At 46.6% G+C, this 21,127-nt stretch overlaps 1 long non-coding RNA gene across 6 annotated transcripts in view, besides 1 other annotated feature; it reads right to left on the bottom strand.

Annotated features, from left to right (window-relative positions):
- The window catches only part of LINC01128 (long intergenic non-protein coding RNA 1128), a 31,856-nt gene that overhangs the window by 6,088 nt on the left and 4,641 nt on the right, over positions 1–21,127 (bottom strand). For 2 of the 6 annotated variants that reach the window (NR_047521.1, NR_047525.1), the window contains exons 3-4: positions 1,249–1,432; positions 593–688 (exon numbers count right to left, since the gene is read on the bottom strand). This is a non-coding gene — a long non-coding RNA (long intergenic non-protein coding RNA 1128). Of the gene's footprint in view, positions 1–592; positions 689–1,248; positions 1,433–5,552; positions 5,706–9,754; positions 12,160–21,127 lie in introns of those variants that run through there. The other 4 variants (NR_047519.1, NR_047523.1, NR_047524.1 and 1 more) reach the window with 4 other exon arrangements.
- Positions 15,866–16,045: a silencer, noted in NCBI's record as "fragment chr1:772694-772873 (GRCh37/hg19 assembly coordinates)". NCBI's record gives its function as "represses an EF-1alpha promoter that drives an FKBP-Casp9 reporter gene in an ReSE screen in K562 erythroleukemia cells {active_cell/tissue: K562}" and the evidence as "EXISTENCE:reporter gene assay evidence [ECO:0000049][PMID:32094911]".

Raw genomic sequence — 21,127 nt, 5'->3', positions numbered from 1 at the left:
AATGCAATTTGTTTGGAAAACAAAAATCAAAGCTTGGGATCCATGGAGTTAAAAAATAACTAAAGAATCTCTACTGATTGAAAGATAGTGAGCTAGGCAGGGCACAGTGGCTCATGCCTGTAATCCCAGCACTTTGGGAGGCCGAGGCGGGCAGATCACTTGAGGTCAGGAGTTCCAAGACCAGCCTGGCCAAGATGGCGAAACCGCGTCTCTACTGAAAATACAAAAATTAGACGGGCATGGTGGCGCACGCCTGTAATCCCACCTACTCAGGTGGCTGAGGCAGGAGAATAGCTAGAACCCGGGAGGTGGAGATTGCAGTGAGCTGAGATCACAGCACTGCACTCCAGCCTGGGGGACAAAGCGAGACTCCGTCTCCAAAAAAAAAGATAGTGAGTTGAGTGTGGTGGCTCATGCCTGCAGTTTCAGCTACTTAGGAGGCTGAGGTGGGAGGATCCCTTGAGCCCAGGAGTTCAAGTCTAGCCTGGGCAACATAGTGAGACCCTGTCTCTAAAATAAGCAAATGCATTATTACTTTTTTAAAGACACCAATCCCAGGAGCTGCTTAGATACTCTGCTTTATCACCCATACCTTTGGTCCCAGATCACTCCAGCCTCATCCATACACCCTTGTGACTTTTAACCTCTAAGTAGTTATCCTAAATCCAGTCCTTAAACAGGATCATACCTGGGGAGAAAACAGACATCCTTGAGAAAACAGGAGAATGTTGAAAATATTTGTCTAAGAAATTAAAGTGCTATATTGAAAAATGACCAAAGCAAGTAAATTGAGTAAAAAGTAGATTTGGGCAATGAATTGTGGAGGAATGCTAAAAAATGAAATGAAATAAAAATAAAGAAAGAAGAAACTTGAGAACGAGGATTTTTGTGATAGGAAAACACATGGCATTGAAAGCATAATTTAGGGTCAGAATGTCTGTGTTTCTCCAAGGGATTCAACACCAGCCTGTTGGCAGTGGACCTGACCCTGACCAGTCACGGAAGCCAACTGGGAACCAACGAGGGCAACAGTTAGCTGCTCTCAGTGCCACACCGGACGAGGATATGGGGACTAATGCTGAAAAGCCACAGGGCGTTGATAAGGCACTAGCGATAATCACTGACCTGAGCCCGTTCTTATTCAAATTCAGTAAGTGTATTTCAGACTGTCATCCTATGCCAAAAACTGAGACAGATGCTGCATCCTGGACTTGGATGATTATTTTTTGAACGATCATGTGATGTTACCTGGAGGTTGTGTAACTGCACCTGCTCCGGCAACTTTCATGACTCAGCACAGAGGAAGAAGCCGAGCGCGATTCTCCAACACACTGGGGTACGTACTGGCTGGCCTATGTCCTGGGTCGTCCAAGAGCAATAATTGTTCACAATGACAGGTCAAGTCACCTCCAGAGTGTATAACTAATGTAACCTATTTGAGAAAGAATGAAGGGTTTATGTTTTTTGAGAATATTTGCATTAGGCGGGCTTAGAAAATGTAGATACTTAAACAGTTTAGCACCTAGAAGACCACAGAACTATTAGAGAATCTGCTACTGAAAATTCGCCTGTCATTTTATGGCAGGACACTGGCAGAGTATTTTATCAGGCTGCAACATGGCTGCATTTTTCTCCTCATTACGCAAGATGTATCCAAGACATTTTCCCTGTTTCAGGTCATTACTCATCTTGCGCAGCCACTGAGCAAAGCGGGTCACGGGGTCCTCAACCGTGAAGTGGCGACGTGAGACACACGACCTCCTGTAACCCTTCAGCCTCCCAGAGTCTGCGATTCAGTAGACACAAACTCGCTGTGAAGGATGGGGCCACTCACACAGAGGCGCGCCGCCCGCCTCACCCTCTGAGGGTGACTTTCCACAGCTGGGACTGGAGGACCCTGGGGCAGATTTAAAAACTATGATCCCAGACGCACAGACCCAGAGTAACCGCAGCCTGGCTTGTGTTGCTCGGGGGGTGACAAGGGGCACTGGGCAACCCTGCTGGCTGAGACTCAGCCCCAGCCACCTTCCAAGGTTCTAGAATGTTCCAGAACCAAAAAGAGAAGCAGATGGCTACAAGTGAGGGAAATACTATTTCTCAGTGATCATTTACAACCAGCAGCTCCTAAATGCTTTTTAAAAAGGTTGATGAGGGATCTAGAACTAGAAATACCATTTGACCCAGCCATCCCATTACTGGGTATATACCCAAAGGACTATAAATCATGCTGCTATAAAGACACATGCACACGTATGTTTATTGCGGCATTATTCACAATAGCAAAGACTTGGAACCAACCCGAATGTCCAACAACGATAGACTGGATTAAGAAAATGTGGCACATATACACCATGGAATACTATGCAGCCATAAAAAATGATGAGTTCATGTCCTTTGTAGGGACATGGATGAAATTGGAAATCATCATTCTCAGTAAACTATTGCAAGAACAAAAAACCAAACACCGCATGTTCTCACTCATAGGTGGGAACTGAACAATGAGAACACATGGACACAGGAAGGGGAACATCACACTCTGGGGACTGTTGTGGGGTGGGGGGAGGGGGGAGGGATAGCACTGGGAGATATACCTAATGCTACATGACGAGTTAGTGGGTGCAGCGCACCAGCATGGCACATGTATACATATGTAACTAACCTGCACAATGTGCACATGTACCCTAAAACTTAAAGTATAATAATAATAATAAGAGATTTAAAAAAAAAAGTTGATGACTTCACTAACTCAAAGAGACACAGTCATTCCTGGAGGCAGGGAGTGCAGGAAGAGCCAGCAGGGTGCAGCAGCAGTCCTTGAAATAGCAGGAAAATCCCACTTGGACACTTTGTCTGTGCAGATCCACATCTCCATGGAGAAGAAGCCTAACTCCTAAGTTTAGATCTGCCTCTGTTTAGCATTCCCTGCACAGCTTGACGTGAATGCAGAGGGGGATGACATTTGCTGACTGGTACATCTAAAGACCTATCAAGGAAGAATGGGACTTGCCCTTAGGCCGAGAAGGCCTAGATGCGTCCGTCATCCCTGGCCAGCTCTTGTTCTTGGTGTGCCCACTGAGCAGCATGAGGGCAGCCTCAAAGACTCGCTTGCCGAGAAAACACTGCCAAATGTCACTGCACAAACCACCGAGTCAGGATCCTTCTCTGAAGGCTTCTCTGCCTACTGGGCACATAGAAACGAGTTTAAAATCTGCAGACAATTGATTTCAAGTGAAGACAGGTGGTGCTGAAGTGATTCCAAAGTGGTGAGTTTGGGCAGCCTGACCAGCTGCTGCCATGGGGGGCTGTGCAGAGCTGCCTGCCCTGAGGGCCATGCCTGGCACAGTGAGGCCTCTCAAAACCATTCTTGTGAATGCCCTGCTGCTCTCTCAGCACTCCATTTTCATGAACTATTTTGAAGTCAGTGGAAATGGGTTTCTCAGGGCCCTGGCTATGGTTTGAACATGTCCCCAAAGTTCAGGTGTTAGAAATTTAACCCCAGTGCAACCATGCTGAGCGGGAGCCTTAAGAGGTGATGGGGTCACGAAGGCTCTGCCCTGCTGAATGGATTAATGCCATTATCATGGGAGTGGGTTTGTTGTGAGAGTGAAATCAGCCCTTCCTCACTGTCTCACCACAAGGTGCCTTCTGCCATGTGATAAGGCAGCGAGAAGCCCTTGCCGGATGCAGCCCCTTAACCTGGGACTTCCCAGCCTCCAGAAGCATAAGCCACATGGACTTCTACTGTTTATAAATTACCAAGTCTGTGGTATTCTGTTACAGCAGCAAAAAGCAGACTGAGACAGTTGGTCTTCAGAGAGCAGACCTTTTCATATTCGAGGATATTTCATCCTTCAGGGATACTTCTCTTATTTTCTCTAAAAGTGAGAAAAATAAAAGCCAGAAGGAAGAGCAATGAGTGAACACCACACTTTCTCTCACACCTCAAGTGGAAAATACACCTTTCTTAAATGAGTGAGTGAACAGTCCCGGATGGCTTCACAATAGCACGTTGTAGAATCAATGCATTCTTCTTAAAACTGCCTATAAAAAGAAAAAACTGCCTATATTCAACAGCTGCAATGCTGTGCTCTTTTATTCCACCACAATGCTGGAATTAGAAGCACAATTCTCCCTTCGCATCCCTCTTGCATCAACCAAAAGTTGAGTTGCGAAGTGGAGTGAAAACTATTAAATAATCACCATATACATTTGTTTTTGAATATTCACTTTTCTGCAAAAATGTGGTTTTACCACATCTTTAGCTAATATCCTCTAAAGAAAGTGAACAACTTTAGTCCATGGGAAGTACATTATGAGGCCTCAAAGCGAAGATGCTGATAAACCTCAATCCTTTCTGCTTCAGTGTAGGCCCTTCCGTCTTGAACTATATGTGTTAACAAACAAGTGAAGTTTTTTGTTTTTGCTATGAGTTCAGGAGACAGGGAAAGATGGGTAACCCACAGCCTCATGTCTGGCAGAGTGAAAGGGTGGGCTGGTTCCTGGTATACTGATGTTCTCAGTGTCTACAGGTCCCTTTGTGCAAAGCAGCCTGCCCTGCAACGTCCTCTTTCAAGAGCTGTTTGGACCTGAGCTTTCCCAGGCTCTGACCTCCCTCATGCTTGAATGGATACTACAGCCAGTTAGATCAGTGTCATCCAATTTGAGAAGTCACACTCCTCAAAGACCCCAAAGACCTGAGACTCGAGAAATCCTTATCTGAGGGACCAACATGTAGTTCAGTAAGAAAACACTTTTAAATTGTGAATTAACAGTAAAAAAGAGAAGTATTTTCTTTACAGCATTTAACTTGAAAAGAATTCATCATAAGTGCTGTGATGGATTTGAGGTGACTGTCAGTTTGGCGCCAGAAATATGTTTCTCAAACACACATAGTTCCCAAGAATATACCAATGAACCTCATAGGTTCTGAAGACCGCAGTTAAAGAAACACATTTTGATATGGTTACTCTTATATCTAGGTTCATTTTCTCCAAATAACTATACCTTCATTCATTAATGTGTCATTTCTTTCAGGAACTGTTTTCTGAGTCTCAAACATATTTCATAGCACTCTCAAGCTTGAGGTTCCGCCTGAACACGCTCCTCCTCCTTTTCTTTTGTGACTCTTCATTTCATATGGAGTTAAACCTGAGCTCCTATATGTAGCTTTCATAATTATCCAAGAGTATTTTCTGGACATTTCCAATTCTGACCCATTTCTGTGTCCCAAAAGAACTCTTAGCACACAGCTCTGTCCATTTACTTGACTTATTCATTTCTTTAGTAACCACTGGCTGCATTCTAATTTCTTCAGAGAACTGTGCCAGGCACTTCCTGGGGTTCAAAGAAAAATTCAGCAGAGTCCTCCTTCATGACAGACCCTGCCATCAGCACTGGAAATCTCCCTGCAGAGGGCTTATTGTCTAATAACACTATGCTTAGGGCCACAGGGTTTGGAATCAGATCTGTGTGAATTTGAGTCCCGGTTCTGCCGCTTAACAAGGAGTCACACAATCACTTACCCACACCTGAGCCCCAATGTCTCCACCTACCCAAGAGTGGGCGAATCGCATGGCGTTGTTGCAAGCATCGTCTGAGAACCAAGGTAACGAACTGACTGCTGATCCAAGGCAGGCACTCAACGGTAGGATTTTAAGGTCCACAGATGTGGGAATGAAGAACTCCATAGAAGATAATGATGGAAACTGAGAGAAGTGAGTGAGATGTTAGTTCGGAGGGAAAGGAAATCTTCACAACGCCCTGTCTTAGCAGGATCACCCTTCCTTCTTTCCAGCCATTCAGGTTCCATGAGTGACCAGCCCAGGTTGCTCATGTCCTAGGGTCCTTCCTGAGCATTTCAGACCTGGGTGCATCCCGCACTCACACTCAGTTCCTACCTTGTGCCGGGCCCTGCCATCAGCCCAGAGAGCCATGGTAAGACTCACCATTTCCTTTGGAAGTCTCGTGGGCTGTCTTCCTGTCCTCTCACCTCACCTTCTGACCTCCCAGATTCAGCCCGTGTGCCAGGGCTTCTCAGCCCTCTCTGTGGGTGGTGGAGAAACACGTCCCCTTCTCCACCTCACCATCTCAGGAACACAGTCCTTTCCCCCTGGCCTTTTATACTCTGGGGCCAGAATCCAAATAGTCTATGAATCTCTACCACTCAGTTTAGCCTCTCCCTCAGTGTGTTTCAAGGAGCACTAATCTTACAAAATGTTCCCAGAAGAAACTGTTTCTGGGGCCAACTAATTATGGGAAACATGGCTCTCTGTATCATCCTCTTGGAGATTTAAAGTATGTTTTGACTATGAGAAATCTTGCAGTAAGGAAGCCTGTTGATATTTGCCCAACCCAGCATTTCCCAAACTCACTTGTCCATGGAACCCTCCTGCAAGTGACAGCCACACACAATCAACAGGGCCAGGCTCCACCTGGCATGTTCTGGGAAATGTGCCGTATGTAGCTTTGTTCTGTTTCCACTTTTGTTAGCTTCGATGGCAACAAGATTGAAAGCGCCCTGAGATAAGTGACTTTGTTTTGAATTGTTTAGTAATAATAATAGCTAATTCGTAATTCTAAGCACCAGATGGGCATAAAGTAGGTTCTCAATAAGTGCCCCATGACAGCTCAGCCTCCCTGGAGTGATCATTTTTCAGATCTCAAATTTACCTGACTCACACAAATATCATTTGGCTTTGGCTGTATGCATGCCCGGCCTCATTGCTTTGGTGTATTTTTAAATAAACGATTTTTAGAGCAGTTTTAGATTCAGAGCAAAGCTGAGCAGAAAGTACAGAGATTTCCCATGTACCCACCTCCCCACATGCATAGCCTCCCCCATTATCAACATCCCCCACCAGAGTGATGCATTTGTTACAGTCCATGAACCTCCATTGACACACTATTGTCACCCAGAGTCCACAGCTCACATCAGGGCTCACCACTGGTGCTGTACATTCTATAGGTTTGGGAAAATATATAGTGGCATGAACTCATCATTGCAGTATCACACAGAGTAGATTGTCTGCCTTAAAGATCCCTGTGCTCCACCTGTTCATCCTTCCCCACACCACCAGGCCTTATCTTTCACTGTGTTGGTAATTCTGCTTTTTCCAGGATGTCCTGTAGTTGGAAGCACACGGGGTGTAGCCTTTTCAGACTGGCTTCTTTCACTCATTTATGCATTTAAAGTTCCCCCATATTTTTTCATGCCTTGATAGCTCATTTCTTTTTGCGTTGAATAATATTCCACTGCCTGGACACACCACAGTTTATCCATTCATCTACTGAAGGACATCTTGGTTGATTCTGAGTTTGGGTGATTATGAATAAAAACAAATAAGCTTCCATAAACATCCATGTGCGGGTGTTTGTATGGATGTAAGCTTTGGTGCATTTTTGGTGTGTGCTCTTGAAAACTGGGCTGACAGTTATCTGAACCAAGCCTGGAGAGCAGGATGTGCCCTGGCTGGCCCCTCACCTGCTTCTGAACAATGAGAGGCATTTTGACCCCCTACACCTCAGGAATGTGACTTCTAGAGTGAGGCTCGGCCTGGCCTGAGGCTGAGCGAATTATCTAGCTCTTAACTTAAGGAGTGTCTGATGGTAAAGAGAGATAGGAATAGGCAAATAGCACTTTGCTTCTTAGCAAGAAATTGCAGCAGGTAAGTTTGGAGTATAGAAAGAGGAAAGATGGTTTTAAGTGTTTAAGCAACTCTCCAAAGATTACAAACTTTCATGAGAATAAGTGAATTTTCTGGTTCAGAGATTGCAGTTGAAATCTGTTCCACCTTGTAGGCAATTTGATCCATGCCGAACAGAAATGTAATAGAGGAACGGAAGGGCGCTAACTTAAGTCACGACTTGGATTAAATTGAGAAATTCAGGTCTTGTTGTTAGAAAGTATGGCTCCCATCTCATAAACAATTCTGAATCTGCAGCCTGCAAGCCCCAACCTGGGCCTGTCCTTGACTGAGTTTGTTCCCATCAGATACTCATTGCAAAGCTTTTGGGGGACGTAGCACTTGTGTTCTAAGCGGGCTCTGAGATAACTTACTGGGGTTCCACTAGTACCTTGTGAGCCATTGCCACTCCCCCTCTATGATGACCTCGCCCAGGGCTAAGGGGAAAAAGCAGCAGGGCCCCCATGGACCTATCCAAAAGGAGATTAATCCAGGGTACTCAGGAAAATCTGTGTTGGAAATCCCTGAAAAAACATGGAAGCAGCATGGTGTGTGATTCAGTACAAACTACAAAAAACCTGGAGAAACAAGGCTTCCATGTGAGATTCGTGGGAGCTCTGTGACCTTACGCCACCAGCTCTAAATCAGCATTCCCTCACGTGTTTGCATAAACTTAGTGATAATACTTATTGTAATTTAAATTAATTAAAATAGAATAAAAGGAAAACTTCGGTTCCCCAGCCTCAAAGGCTGCCGTATCCTACACACAGTGAAGAAGACCCTGCCAGAGAAAGCTCCCCTGGCCCCTGTGGAGAGCCGGGCCTTACAGGAATGCTCTGACACTTGCTGCGTGAACTGGTGACTGTAGAAAGGAAACAGGCTCACATGGCACACGGGAGGGTTGCTCCAGCCCTTTTTGGCTTTCTCGGCAGCAGGATGCTGATCAAGGTACAGCGAAACCTATCGGTTCGAATCCACACTGGCAGAACCACCGCAGCCCATGCAAGGCAAGGGCCTGAAAGTGGCAAGCGTGTGGGAGAACCAGCCCCACCCTACTCCCCGCAGACCCAGCTTCCTGCTTGACAAATGTATACAGAGGCTGCTATTTTTGAAACATCCCATGTAGATTTCATTAAAAAAAAAAACAAAACCTCAAAACTCACAAGATTCCCACTTACTTAAAGATCACTGTCATAACCTGGTTAGCAATCATCACACACAGCAGGCCTGCAAAGGGACCAACATCTGCTCAGAGGGAGCCTGGCCTAGCTCCACTGAACCAGTTTAAGAATCAGACTGAACCAGTTTAAGTATCATTTTAGATCCCAGGTTAGCTTGCTGGAGCTGCCATAACAAAGCACCATAGACTGCATGGCTTAAACAACAGACATTTCTCTCTCACAACCCTGGAGGCTGGAAGTCCCAGATCAAGGTGTGGGCAGGGCTGGTTCCTCCTGAGGCCTCTCTCCTTGGCGTGCAGATGCCATCCTCTGTGTCCTCACACGATCGTCCCTCTGTATGTGTCTGTGTCCTCATGTCCTCTTAGGAGGATGCCAGATTGCATCAGGGCCCACCTGGTGACCTCACTACGCTAATCACCTCCTTAAAGGCCCTGTCTACAAATCTAGTCCCATCAGGGGTAAGGACTTCAACATAAGAATTTGGGCAGGAGAAAATTCAACCCATAACAGATCCATACCGAGATGTTCAAATCACCTGGGCAAAATTGGGACATTGTTCTCTCTCACAGCAGGACATCATAGGGTTCATGTGTTCAAATGCTGGAACATTCTTCAAACCCTGTCTTAGAATCTCAGAGTAGGGGCCTCAGAGGGCCCCTCAGTGAAACTGCCTCCATGGTGGCTGCACCTGAGCTGCTGCCTTGGGGGTGACACCCCTGGAACTTGCCCCAGAGTCACCCACTTGTCACTAAATGGTGCCATGAGCACGGCCTCCCCAGGCAGAGCTGATTTGATCACGAGCTTTGACTCCTGTGATTGGCCTTGGACATTTTTCTTACCAGTGTGTTATCTTCCTATTCCTATTTGGTATTCTCTAGTGATTCGAGTGAGTAGGTAACTAAGTTTCCTGTTTTAATGATATATTTAGGAAATTCTGATATCATTTCAAGTATCTTTAAAAACAATCTACTTAATTGTCAACAACCAAGTGTATGGAAATTTACGTAAAATCCTGTTTACAGATGAGAGAAGGCGGCTGCTGTGGTGACAGCACACAGTCAGCAAAGAGGTCCAGAGGATGACGTGCAGCTTCCCGGCGGCCTGGAGAGCTCCCCAGGTCTCACCCCATCTCGCTTCCATCTCAAGGCTCTGGGCACCCCCCTCTTGCAGACCTGCTTCTATTTCTTTGGACAGTTTGGGAAAATCACGCTCTTTAACCCTAAACACTTCGGATCACTTCAAAACAAGATGCTCAGAAAAGGGAAACTCTAATCCGTCAACCAGGGAAAGATAGTAACTGTCTAATTGCACAGCATCCCACAGTGAGCAGCCACCAGGCCGGGACAGAGCAGATGGTGCATCCAGGTGCCTAGACTGCCCCACCTTTGAATTCAGAGGAAAAAAGTCCCAGTTCACTGCAGCAGCATTACTCGGGATAAGGCCATGATCTCATAACCTCTCAGTAGTGGCTGTGGGGTGGGGCTGGCTTCTGGACACCCAGCTCAGCTGTTATCACCTTCTCCCATCCTGTGGGAGGGCGTGTGCGCTGATCACTCCTGGTGTGAGCACAGAGGGGTTGACGCGGTCGGTGCTGCTGAAGGCCGCCGTGCATTTGTTCTGTCTAACATACATGCATTGGGCACCCAGGGGGCTGGTAATGGTGAGTGACACAGACACACAGAGGCTGTCGGGTGCTGCTGAGGATGGTGACTGAGTGAATCATGGGCGGTGGGAACAGGCAGCAGGAGGTGTTGCAGGAGAGTCGGAGACCTGTGGCTCTGGGAGCCCTTAGGTGGGAGGAAGGATCAGTGTCTCTTCCAGTTAGGTTTGAAGAATGGTGCAGGACTCCCTGGTGAGCCAGGTGGACATGACCTCAAGCTCCTGGGCCCGTTGCCTGGGATGCATCCCAAGGCACGCACCAGGACCTAACCAGTGTCTTCAGCCTCTGCTAGGAGCTTCCAGTCAGAGTCCCCCTGCACATTCAAACGTGTGACAAGCATTCTCGATGCTTCACCTATGCCCAGGATTTGACTCCAGCCAGTCTTTGCACAGTTGTCCACCTCCCTGTTCACTTTTCTTTAAGTCATGGATAACAAAGGGTGGAGATTTGATGGTGTTGCTGTCTTCCGCCGAGTGTGGGATAGCCCACAGGGCCTCTGAGCACTTCACCATCCATTCTCTAGCCGTCTCTGTCTGTCCCAGACCCCTCACCCTTTGATCTGCTGCCAGGCAGGAAGACGTTTAACTGATTTTGCAGATTGGGACCAAACAACTTCGGTGGGTGGAACGGCTGGTGCGTGCGCTTCCTTTCCCTCCCCCAGTGTCAGGGCACTGAGGCTGGAGTTGGTGAAGCACTAGGGCTCGTGCAGCAGGTGAGAGGAGGGAAGCTCCTCCCTGGGAGGGACAGGCACCCCTACTCGCCTTCACGGAGCCCTTCTTCAGCTCCCAGTATGTTAGCAGGAGTTTCAGGAAAGAAACAACAGAGGCCATCAAATACACAGATGAAATTTTTAAATGAAAGGAAATACTGTCCAAAACTTTCATTTTAGAAAGGAAAGAAGCATTTCTAAAGAAGCATTTCTTGTCCCGAGAGACAAGAGGGCCACCCATGGTTGCTCAGGGTGGGCTGCCGACGGCCGCCCAGGTCTGGTGCATGTGGTTTCTTGTCTGCTGTGCACTGAGCACAAACTACATGCCAGGCTCTGCCCTGTGCTTCTAAGACATTATTTTTCAATACTCATGGCAAACTGATGTTGTAGATATTCATGCCTCCTTTACAGAGTAGAAAACAGAGGCTCACAATGCTGAGAGCTTTGCCCAAGGTGACACGCTAACCTGTGCTTCCCAGGCCTGTGTGTCACCGAGGGTCTTACCACAATGAAGATTTTGATTCAGTCCGTCTGGGTTGGGGCCTGAGATTCTGAATTTCCAAGAAGTTCCAGGTAATGTGAGTACAGGAGGCCCAAGGACTTCCCCGTGAGTAGCAAGTCTCTAAACCAGCATCTCTGCTTATCGTCAGAGAGGTGCACAGGCTGATTCTGCAGGCCTCTCCTGGCTGACGGTGGCCTTGGCACCCAAGAGCAGAGGGAACTGGTCCTGGCTGTGGATATTCAGGGCCTCACCTGGACTGTGATTCTTGAGGCCATGACCATCACAGGGGCCCATGGGCGGGGCCCTCACACACCTTCCAGGTCACCCTTTCTCTGCCCAGCAGGGTCTCGCTTCTGTACCGAGGTTTAACCCTGTGGCACTGAATATTCACAGCTTTTCACAAACGCGTGTCACTGGTGAGATTCCTACAATGTGGACCAAAATAAGAGACATCGTTTTTACTGAAACTGACACCATCCCATGATAGACAAAAAAGTAAAAACACTGAGCATTCTGACACTGTCTTGTTGCCTTGTTATTTGAAGAGGCAATAAATGAATCAATAAGATATTTAGGACATTTCAGCTGGCAAACTCAAATATTATTCAGCCGTTGTTATCAAAAGCCAGATTGCACTTAGCCCATAAAATACTGAAGAAAAAAACTGCTATGAATAATATTTTATAATTTCTTGGTGAGCGTTTGATATGTACCTACACAGCACAGCAAAGCACGCCTTTGCCTGTGATTCTACCACACCTCACCAACGCGTTTGTTAAAACAGTCTGCACGGGGCTGTAAATGCTGAGGCCAAGGGAAAAAGTAAAAAGGAAAACTATATTACCTGGGGGAAGTGGTTTTACTTGATATGACTGAAACAGATGCTGAACAAAACACATCATCTAGAATCAAGAGTATTGGGATTCATAAGTAAATTCATCACAGAAATGTTTCAGACTCTTTCGAGGTATTGTGTCCTTGAGTTATTCAATAATTTGTTGTTAAGGCAGGTGGAGGAAAATAAACTTTAGATTCACACAGACCTGGGTTTGGATTCTGTCTCTGATGAATATTTGCTGCGGATGAATATTTCTGGGGAAGTTATGTAGCTAATTTTGAGTTTCTGGATAACAGAGCTTTCCACTAAAGATTGATTTTACAATTATGTACCCAAAATTCTACTCTTCTTTTCTTTTGTTCTTTTTTTTTTTTTTTAATACTACAATGGTTTTTAGTACGTTCATAGAGCTGTGAAATCATCACATTTTTGTCATTCCCTAAGGGAAACATGCTCATTAGTACTCATTTCCTTCTTTCTTGCACCCACATCGCAAGCCCAGGCAACTATGAATCTACTTTCTACTTCTGTGGATTTGCCTATTCTGGACATTTCATATAAATGGGATTATACAATATGTGGCCATTTCCTTACTCCAGTGCAGTTTTTCCCATTTGCCTCCTTTGTACTGTTATTGTCAAGTATATTACATTTCTGTATGTTATGCGTCCAATAATACAATTCCATACTTATTGTCCTATGCAGTTGCTTTTGAAAACAGGAGAAAATATATGCATTTACACCTTTTTTAAAAAGTACATAATTACCTTTACTACTGCCCTTTGCTTTTTTGTGTGGATTTGAAAATCGTATGAGTTCACTTGTTTTCAGCCTGAAGAATTCCTTTAATATCTCATAAAGCAGTTCAGCTAGCAAGAAATTCTCTCCGTTTTTGCTTATCTTGAAATTTATTTCACCTTCATGTCTGACAGATGGCCTTGCTGGATATAGGATTGTGGATTAATAGTTTCTTCCTCTGAGCACTTTGAATATGTTATCCCACTGCCTTCTGGCCTCCATCCTTTTACAGACAGATCAAGTGTTAATCCTACTGGGTTCCCTTCTTTGTGGTGAGCCATTTTATTCTGTTCCTTTCAAGGTTTCTCCTTGTCTTTGTCTTGAACATTTTGATTCTGGTGTGTCTAGGTATGTGTGTCCAGGTGTGTGCGTCCAGGTGTGTGTGTCCAGGTGTGTGTGTCTAGGTGTGTGTGTCCAGGTGTGTGTCTCTAGGTGTGTGTGTCTACGTGTGTGTGTCCAGGTGTGTGTGTCTAGGTGTGTGTGTCCAGGTGTGTTTGTCCAGGTGTGTGTGTCTAGGTGTGTGTGTCCAGGAGTGTGTGTCTAGGTGTGTGTGTCTAGGTGTGTGTGTCCAGGTGTGTTTGTCCAGGTGTGTGCGTCCAGGTGTGTGCGTCTAGGTGTGTGTGTCCAGGTGTTTGTGTCTAGGTGTTTGTGTCCAGGTGTGTGTGTCCAGGTGTGTGTGTCTAGGTGTGTCTCTTTGTGTAGAGCTTTTTGGGCTTCTTGAATGTGTAGGTTAACATTTTTCAGCAAATTTGGGAGCTTTTCAGCTATTATTTCTTGGACATTTTTTCTGCTTGGAACTTTTTTTCTGCTTCTTTCTCTCTCACATCTCCTCTGGTACTCTCATTAAGGATGTCCCAAGCTTCTATTCATTTTTCTTAATTATTTTTCCCTCTCTGTTTTTCAGGTTGTATAATCTCTATTGACATAACTTCAAGTCTGCTGGTTCTTTCTTCTGACTGTTCCAATTTACTGCTGGGCCCCTGAGTGAACTTTTCATTTCAGTTATTGTTCTTTTCAACTCCACAATTTTTTGTTTTTTAAAATAATTTTTATTTCTTTATTGATATTCCTTATTAGATGGGACACTGTCATCATAATTTCTTTTAATTCTTTTAACATGGTCTCCTTTAGTAACTTGAATATGTTTCTGTGGCTGTTTTGACACTGGCTGTCTTTGTCTGTTAATCCGATGTCTGGAATTTGTCATAGTTTCTGTTGCCTTCTGTTTTCCTGAGCATGGGTCTCACTTTCCTGTTTTCTTGCATTTTTGTGGAAACTGGCATTTTAGGTAATATATCATAGCAAATCTGGATTCTGACCCCGACCCGCAGGGGCTGCTATTTCTGTTTGATTGCTTGTTTATTTGATTAGGGACGTAGCTCTGATATTGCTCCTCAGAGGGCACAGCCTTGGACTAGCACACAGTCTCTCCGACCACCTGTGGTATCTGTGGTTTTCTCTGGGCTCTCTGTTAAGCTTCTGCTGGTCTGTCTCTCTTTGGTGTCACACACAGCTGTTAACATCCACTAAATGCAAGTGCTCTATCATTTTTTATGATGCCTGGGGCACAAATTGCTCCATAGACTCATCCAGTGAACATCAGGCTCTTTTGCAGGGGCAGAGTGTTGCCAGCTTTTCAAGTCTGCTCAGACCCCGGAGCTCTTCTCAACAATCTCTCTTCCTTGTTCCCTCTGTTTAAGTTCTATCTAGTCTACCATTTCACCCACTCTTAATTGTTCATCAACAAAATCTCCACTATTTTTGCCAACTTCCTTGGGCTTGAACTTCCGCATGCTGTTCTCCAAGTAAAGTCTGTCACCTCAGGGACATGCTCTGCTCTTAGGTCTCCTCTGCTCCTGGGGACCGTGATCCAGTTCCACCAGAGCGACACCCTTGCTGCATGAGCCAGTAGCTGGGTGGGCATGGTAGCCTCTTGTCTTCCTAGCTTGCCCCTCCAGACATGGAACCTCCACACTGTGAGTGACTTGGTGTGGGGCAATCCAGGCAGATGTGCTCAGTCTGCCACACCTGGGATGGGGCTCCCACCCTCTGAGGACAAGCACAGGCTGAAGCAGGGGAGCCCTAGTCCTCTCAGTTGCAACTTCCTGGAACGGTGCTTCTGCAGTGCAAACTGAGAGGGATGAGAGATGCTGGTGGCCTGCCTTCCTGGGGTGAAACCACAGCCCTAGACCAGGAGCCGGGAAGACAGACCACAGCATCTTGTTAGCTGGACCTTCCTGGAGCAGAGCTTTCATCACAATGCGCTTTGAGGGTGGGGAGCGGTGGATTGTGGCTCTGATACCACTGATCCTTACCGTTCTTACTGAGATTTGATTATTTATTTGAGTAAATATTTATCCACCTGCTGTATGCCTTTAGGATAATTTCTAGTTTTAAAAAAATGAATGTTCGGAGGTTAAATGGTTATTTCCCTGGATAGAGGGCCTGCCAAGCTCCTCACACCACCATTCCAGAAGCTCTCCTCTGCTGCTTATTTTTGAAAATAAAATTTTATTGGAACATCCAGACATGCTCATTCCTTTATATATTACCTACCCACGTCTTCACCCTTCAACAGCAGAGTTGGTAACTGCAACAGAAACTGCATGGCCCTTAAAGCTTAAAACAGTTACCCGGCCCTTTACAGAATTTTTTTCCACTGCTTGTCCTAGATAATAATTTGATACAAATTTGTGCTCATTTGTTAATTCAAAAATGCGTAACTATTTATATGCTGGGATAAACCAAAGAGACACAAAGTTCCATCCCTCAGGAGATTTCAGGTTAGAAGAAAAGATCATTTTTAGTCAAAGAGACCACAAACATAGGCCAGGCTTGGTGGCTCAAGCCTGTAATCCCAGCAGTTTGGGAGGCTGAGGCAGGAGGATCACTTAGAGTTTGAGACCAGCCTGGGCAACATAGTGAGACCCCGTCTCTACGAAAAATTAAGAAAAAAAAATTGACCACAAATATAAGTCAGACCACGACTATAATAGATATGGCCTAAGAGATATTCCCTGACTCAGGAAGAAGCGGCAGACATGACGAGGAGACTATACTCAAGAAGACTCCCATGAAGAAGTGAAAATGGAAGCTAAATTCTGAAGGATAAGCCAGCATTAGCAAGGCCAAGAAGATCCCTCAGGAGCTGACCCTGTGACAAGGATTGGAGTGCAGGCTGTTTATTTCCAAGAGAGAGGAAGATGGCCAACAAAGGGTACGCTTAAAACCAGTCACCACTGTGGGCAGCTGGAGCCTTCTGCCACTGTCAGACTCTGGGAGCCAATGCAAACAACAAAAGCAAAAAGAAACACCCAAAAGAGTGCACCTGAGATGTATTCACCCCAGAGGGCGAGGAGATGGATAGATGTCCGTAACCAAGGTCTCCTGAGGGCTGTGCCCTGACGCATTTATTCCCGGGAACTTTTGCCTGTGGATGGAGCCGGTGGCAGCAGATTGGGTTTTAGCTGCGGGACAAAGACCTTGGACAAGGAACTGGGGGCACTGGCCCCTGGGAGCTGGCTGGGGGGGCACTGCAGTGCCACATGTAGAGAATATGGGCAAGGCCCCAGCAGTGGACATTATGGAGGTACTCCAGGCAGAGGGAGTATCACCAGCAAAGGCCCCGTGGCAAGGGAAGACCACAACCAGGGTCCAAGAGAAGTGGGCAACAGCAGAGCCACATGGAGCCAGGGACTTATTGGACACAGGCCCCTCATTTCCTGGCACGTGAGATGGTGTCCTTGGTTATCCTGCCCTAGAACATGCTTAAAGGTGTCCTATAGTCACTTAAGAATTCAGCCAATACTGTAGTGCCTGTGAGTATCAGATGTTTCATTATTTAAACTTCAAGTATTCTTGTATGTATTCATTTCATTAGTAAGAAAAATAGTGGTCAAAAGGTGAGAGGAATTGCCCATATCACACAGCTTATAGAGCTGCAACCACCATAACTGAAGCATCAAAAGGAAAGGAAATCGTGAACAAAAGTCCACGATGCCTCCAGCACACGCACAGGGTCTTTAATTCACACCTTCCCCATGGATTGGACTGAAAGGATAAGCTCCAAATTTGCAGCATATTAGTGTATTTTTTCATTAAAGATGATTCAGTACTTGCAAGGGTCATTTCAGCAGCTGCAGGCCAAAGGATAGAAGTCTCTTGTCCCTTCCTAAGGATAAGAGGAGCACGGTCATGTGGATCCCTGCACCCTGACTCAGTTTGAGGAATGCATTCTTCATTCTGTGCCAGGCTTTCTAATTAAGGAACAGCTCAGATGCCAACTCCTGCACGGCAGTCACCCTTGACCGTCCCAGGCTGGGTCAGGTGCCCCGGCTCTCTCTATGCTTCCCCAGCACTCTGCATTGGGCTCTTTTTTACCCTTCATCAGGCTGCATGGGACATAGCCTGATCCCGGATCCTGGCTGTGAAGTAAGCCGCGTGGCTTCGGAGGCACACCATCGTGGCCGTGGGCTGGCTGAGCGCTCAGCTCCTCAGCACCTTGGAGACACCTTGGCCCTGCTCGTGGTCCTGCTGTGGGGCACTGGTCAGGTGAGGGTGGGGGGTCTGCAGTGATTAAAATACTCCATTACCTGGGTGTGCAATCCGTTCAGATATTGGCAGGTGATCCAAGTCAGGCCAAATAAAACTTGCCCTGAGAGTTTATGAACACTGAGAGATAAATTATGAGTCTTTCTCTAGGGATCTTGCTACAAGGAATAAATGGATGCCGCTTTCAGGAAGCCTTATGAAATAGAGAATAGTGAGAACAAAATACAAAGAGAAGCAGAGACAAGAAGACAGAGAAGTGGACGGAAAGATGCAGGGATGGATGAATGGGTGGGTGAACAGGGGGTGGAGGGATGGGGGAGGGAGGAAAGGAGAGATGAAGAGGTGGATGGAGGGATGGGCAGATGGATGGGGAGGGAGGCAAGGGAGAGGGATGGAGGAAAGTAGAGATGAAAGGATGGATGTGCACGTGGATCAATGGATAAAGACACGGGTGAGTGGGTAGGTGGGTGGATGGGTGGATGGAGGGAGGGAGGGTTGGATAGATGGGTGGATGGATAGGTGGATGAGCAGCAAAGAAACAGTTTCTGACAAAATTATTTAAACTCGTATATCTAGTTATGACTTCAGCTAGAATCTTTCACTAGATTTTTATGATGTGAGCCAATAAATCCCCTTTGGATTCAGCTAGTTTTGCTAGGTTGCTTGCTACCAAAAAATTTAAAATTTGCGTAATATATGCTCCTCTCTCTCTTGAATTCCCTGCTTTGCCCACTCGGCTCGTGTCTGGAACCGTCTCCCTCACTGCTGGCTATCTCTAATCCCCTCCTTTTCCTTGGCCCTCATGCTCTTAACCACGCCTTCTTTCCTGTAGGAACTGTGCTTCTATAGGAAACCGTCATTCCACTCGCTTGAGACTATGCTGGGGAACAACAGCAGTTCCAAACTTGCCCACAGCCCAGGAGCGACGTGCGCGGAAGCAGGAACATCTTGCACCTTCATCACAAGGACTGACTAATGGTGGTTCCCTGTAGCTACAGATGACTCCATCCTTCCCACTCTCGCCCTTTAGATGACAGTCTTCCCCCTGATCTCCACACCCAGCTCCCTCACTCCCAGCTCCACACTTGCTTCCTGGTTGGTCCTGGTGGGCCATTAGTGGGTCTATGGGACTCAGCAGGCACCTGTGCTGATGGTTTCTGGGTTCCTGGATGTTTGCTGCTGGTGCCGCTTCTCATCTTTCTCATGAACATTTCCAACTGCACCACGATCCCACTGAGACACCTCTCAGGGAACTCATTGTGTGGAGAACTGAATGCTTCTCCTCCTGCATCCCATAATGCAGACAGTGGCTTCTCCACCCTCCCAGGCCCCAGCCCCCAAACCCCTCAGTCCTTTGTCTCCTCTCCTAAATCAACAAGCCCTGTTGGCTCTTGCCAGTGAAGTTCCTCTCACTCTTTGGCCTGCCTGTCACTGTCCAGTCCTCGTTAATTCTTGCCGGATTTCCTGTGACCATCTCTTAGCTCCAGGCATCATCTTGCCTCCAGCTTCACCCCCACACAGCAGGGACCTGTCTCCTGCAAGCCTCGCTGTCACCGCATCCTGGACGTACATGAGGGCCTGTGTCTTTCACAGCGAAGTCCAGACCTCCTGATGGTGAGCGCAGCCCTTCGTGATCTGCCCCCGACACTCAGCCGTCTCATTCTCAGCTCCTCACACATGTCTCACCAGAGCCATATGCTTTGCATCTTGGATATTATTTTCAGGAAATTGCCCCAAACCAAGCAGTGGGACCAGGGACAGTCGGCGACTTCTCTGGTCCTGTCTTTCCTTATCGATAAGATGAAAGGCTTAGACAAGGCCACCTCTATGGAGCCCGGCCAATTTGCCCCACTGGGTTTCCTTTTGATATACTTAATGACACTAAAAAACCTATTTAAAGGTACAAATTCTGGGAGAGGGAAAGAAACAGCAAAATGCAAATTCTACCAGTTCACCAAACCCAACTTAAATCTTCTTCAGGAGCACAATGCAGCTGCCGCCCACCCAGGCCTGCCAGGAGCCTGCAATGAAGTTAATTATTAGACCTGAGGGCATTTGAGTGGAGTGGGACTCCCAGCACACTGAGGAGGCAAGAAAAACCTGAAGTAAAAAGAGAGCTAAGCTAAGACACCTGATAGATGTTAAGTCAGGAACGATCCCCTGGAAAGTAAGTTAGGAATGTAGAAAATTTTTCCAAGTTGCTCACTTAAATCATTTCCAAAATGGTTTGACTTTTTCCTTAATGAAATTGTCATGATAGGTGGGACGTAACTTTGGATTTGAGTTCATAATATCTCTTAAAATCAATTAGAATAATAAAGTCATATATGTTTCTGGCAAGTTAGTGTGTAAATATCTGGCTCTAAAACCTACTGTCAGCTGAGGCCAGGTGCAGTGGCTCATACCTGTAATCCCGGCACTTTGGGAGGCTGAGGCGGATGGATCACCTGAGGTCAGGAGTTGGACACCAGCCTGGCCAACATGGTGAAACCGTGTCTCTACTAAAAATACAAAAATTAGCCAGGCATGTGGCATGCACATGTAGTCCCAACTACCCGGGAGGATGAGGCAAGAGGATTGCTCTAAGGTGGAGGCTGCAGTGAGCCAAGATCACGCCACTGCACTACAGCCTGGGCGACAAAGCAAGACTCCATCTAAAACAAAACAAAACAAAACAAAACAAAACAAAACAAAACAAAACTTACTGTGAGCTGAAAGAACTCTGGCCATCGAACCTGCCTATGCCCATGACCATCAAACCTGCTTACGCCCATGTCCATGTGGACCCCACCCCAGGGCCAGCCTCTCTGGAGCTCCAGACACTGCAGGACAGAAACAGGAGAGCAGGAAACAGCAGGAAAGGAAAAGGAGGAGTGAGAGAAGAAAAAAAAGAGGGAGGAAGGGAGAGAAAAGAATCAGCCCAAGTCTCCATGCCCTGTCCTGGTGCCGTGACGGACCAGCACTTGGGCAAGGTTGGAGAGTGGAGGGTGTGTGCTGAGCGGGGCGCTGCGGGTTTAGCAGGTGAGGGAGCTGACCACTCTCAGCCCTTCCTGAGTCACCCTGGAGACCAGGCCGTTTAAGGACACCTCACAGCCCCTCTCCATGGCGACTTGGCGGGAGGAGCCCTGCCACAGCTCTGTCTTCTCTGCACTCACCAGCCTTTTTTCCCTCATAGCCAAAGTCACGCAGCTTAATGTTGACACAGC

Source organism: Homo sapiens, chromosome 1 (genome assembly GCF_000001405.40).
Source record: "Homo sapiens chromosome 1, GRCh38.p14 Primary Assembly".
Classification (NCBI taxonomy): domain Eukaryota; kingdom Metazoa; phylum Chordata; class Mammalia; order Primates; family Hominidae; genus Homo; species Homo sapiens.
The sequence above is the reverse complement of the archived record's forward strand: the minus strand, read 5'-3'. Positions and strand labels throughout refer to the sequence as shown.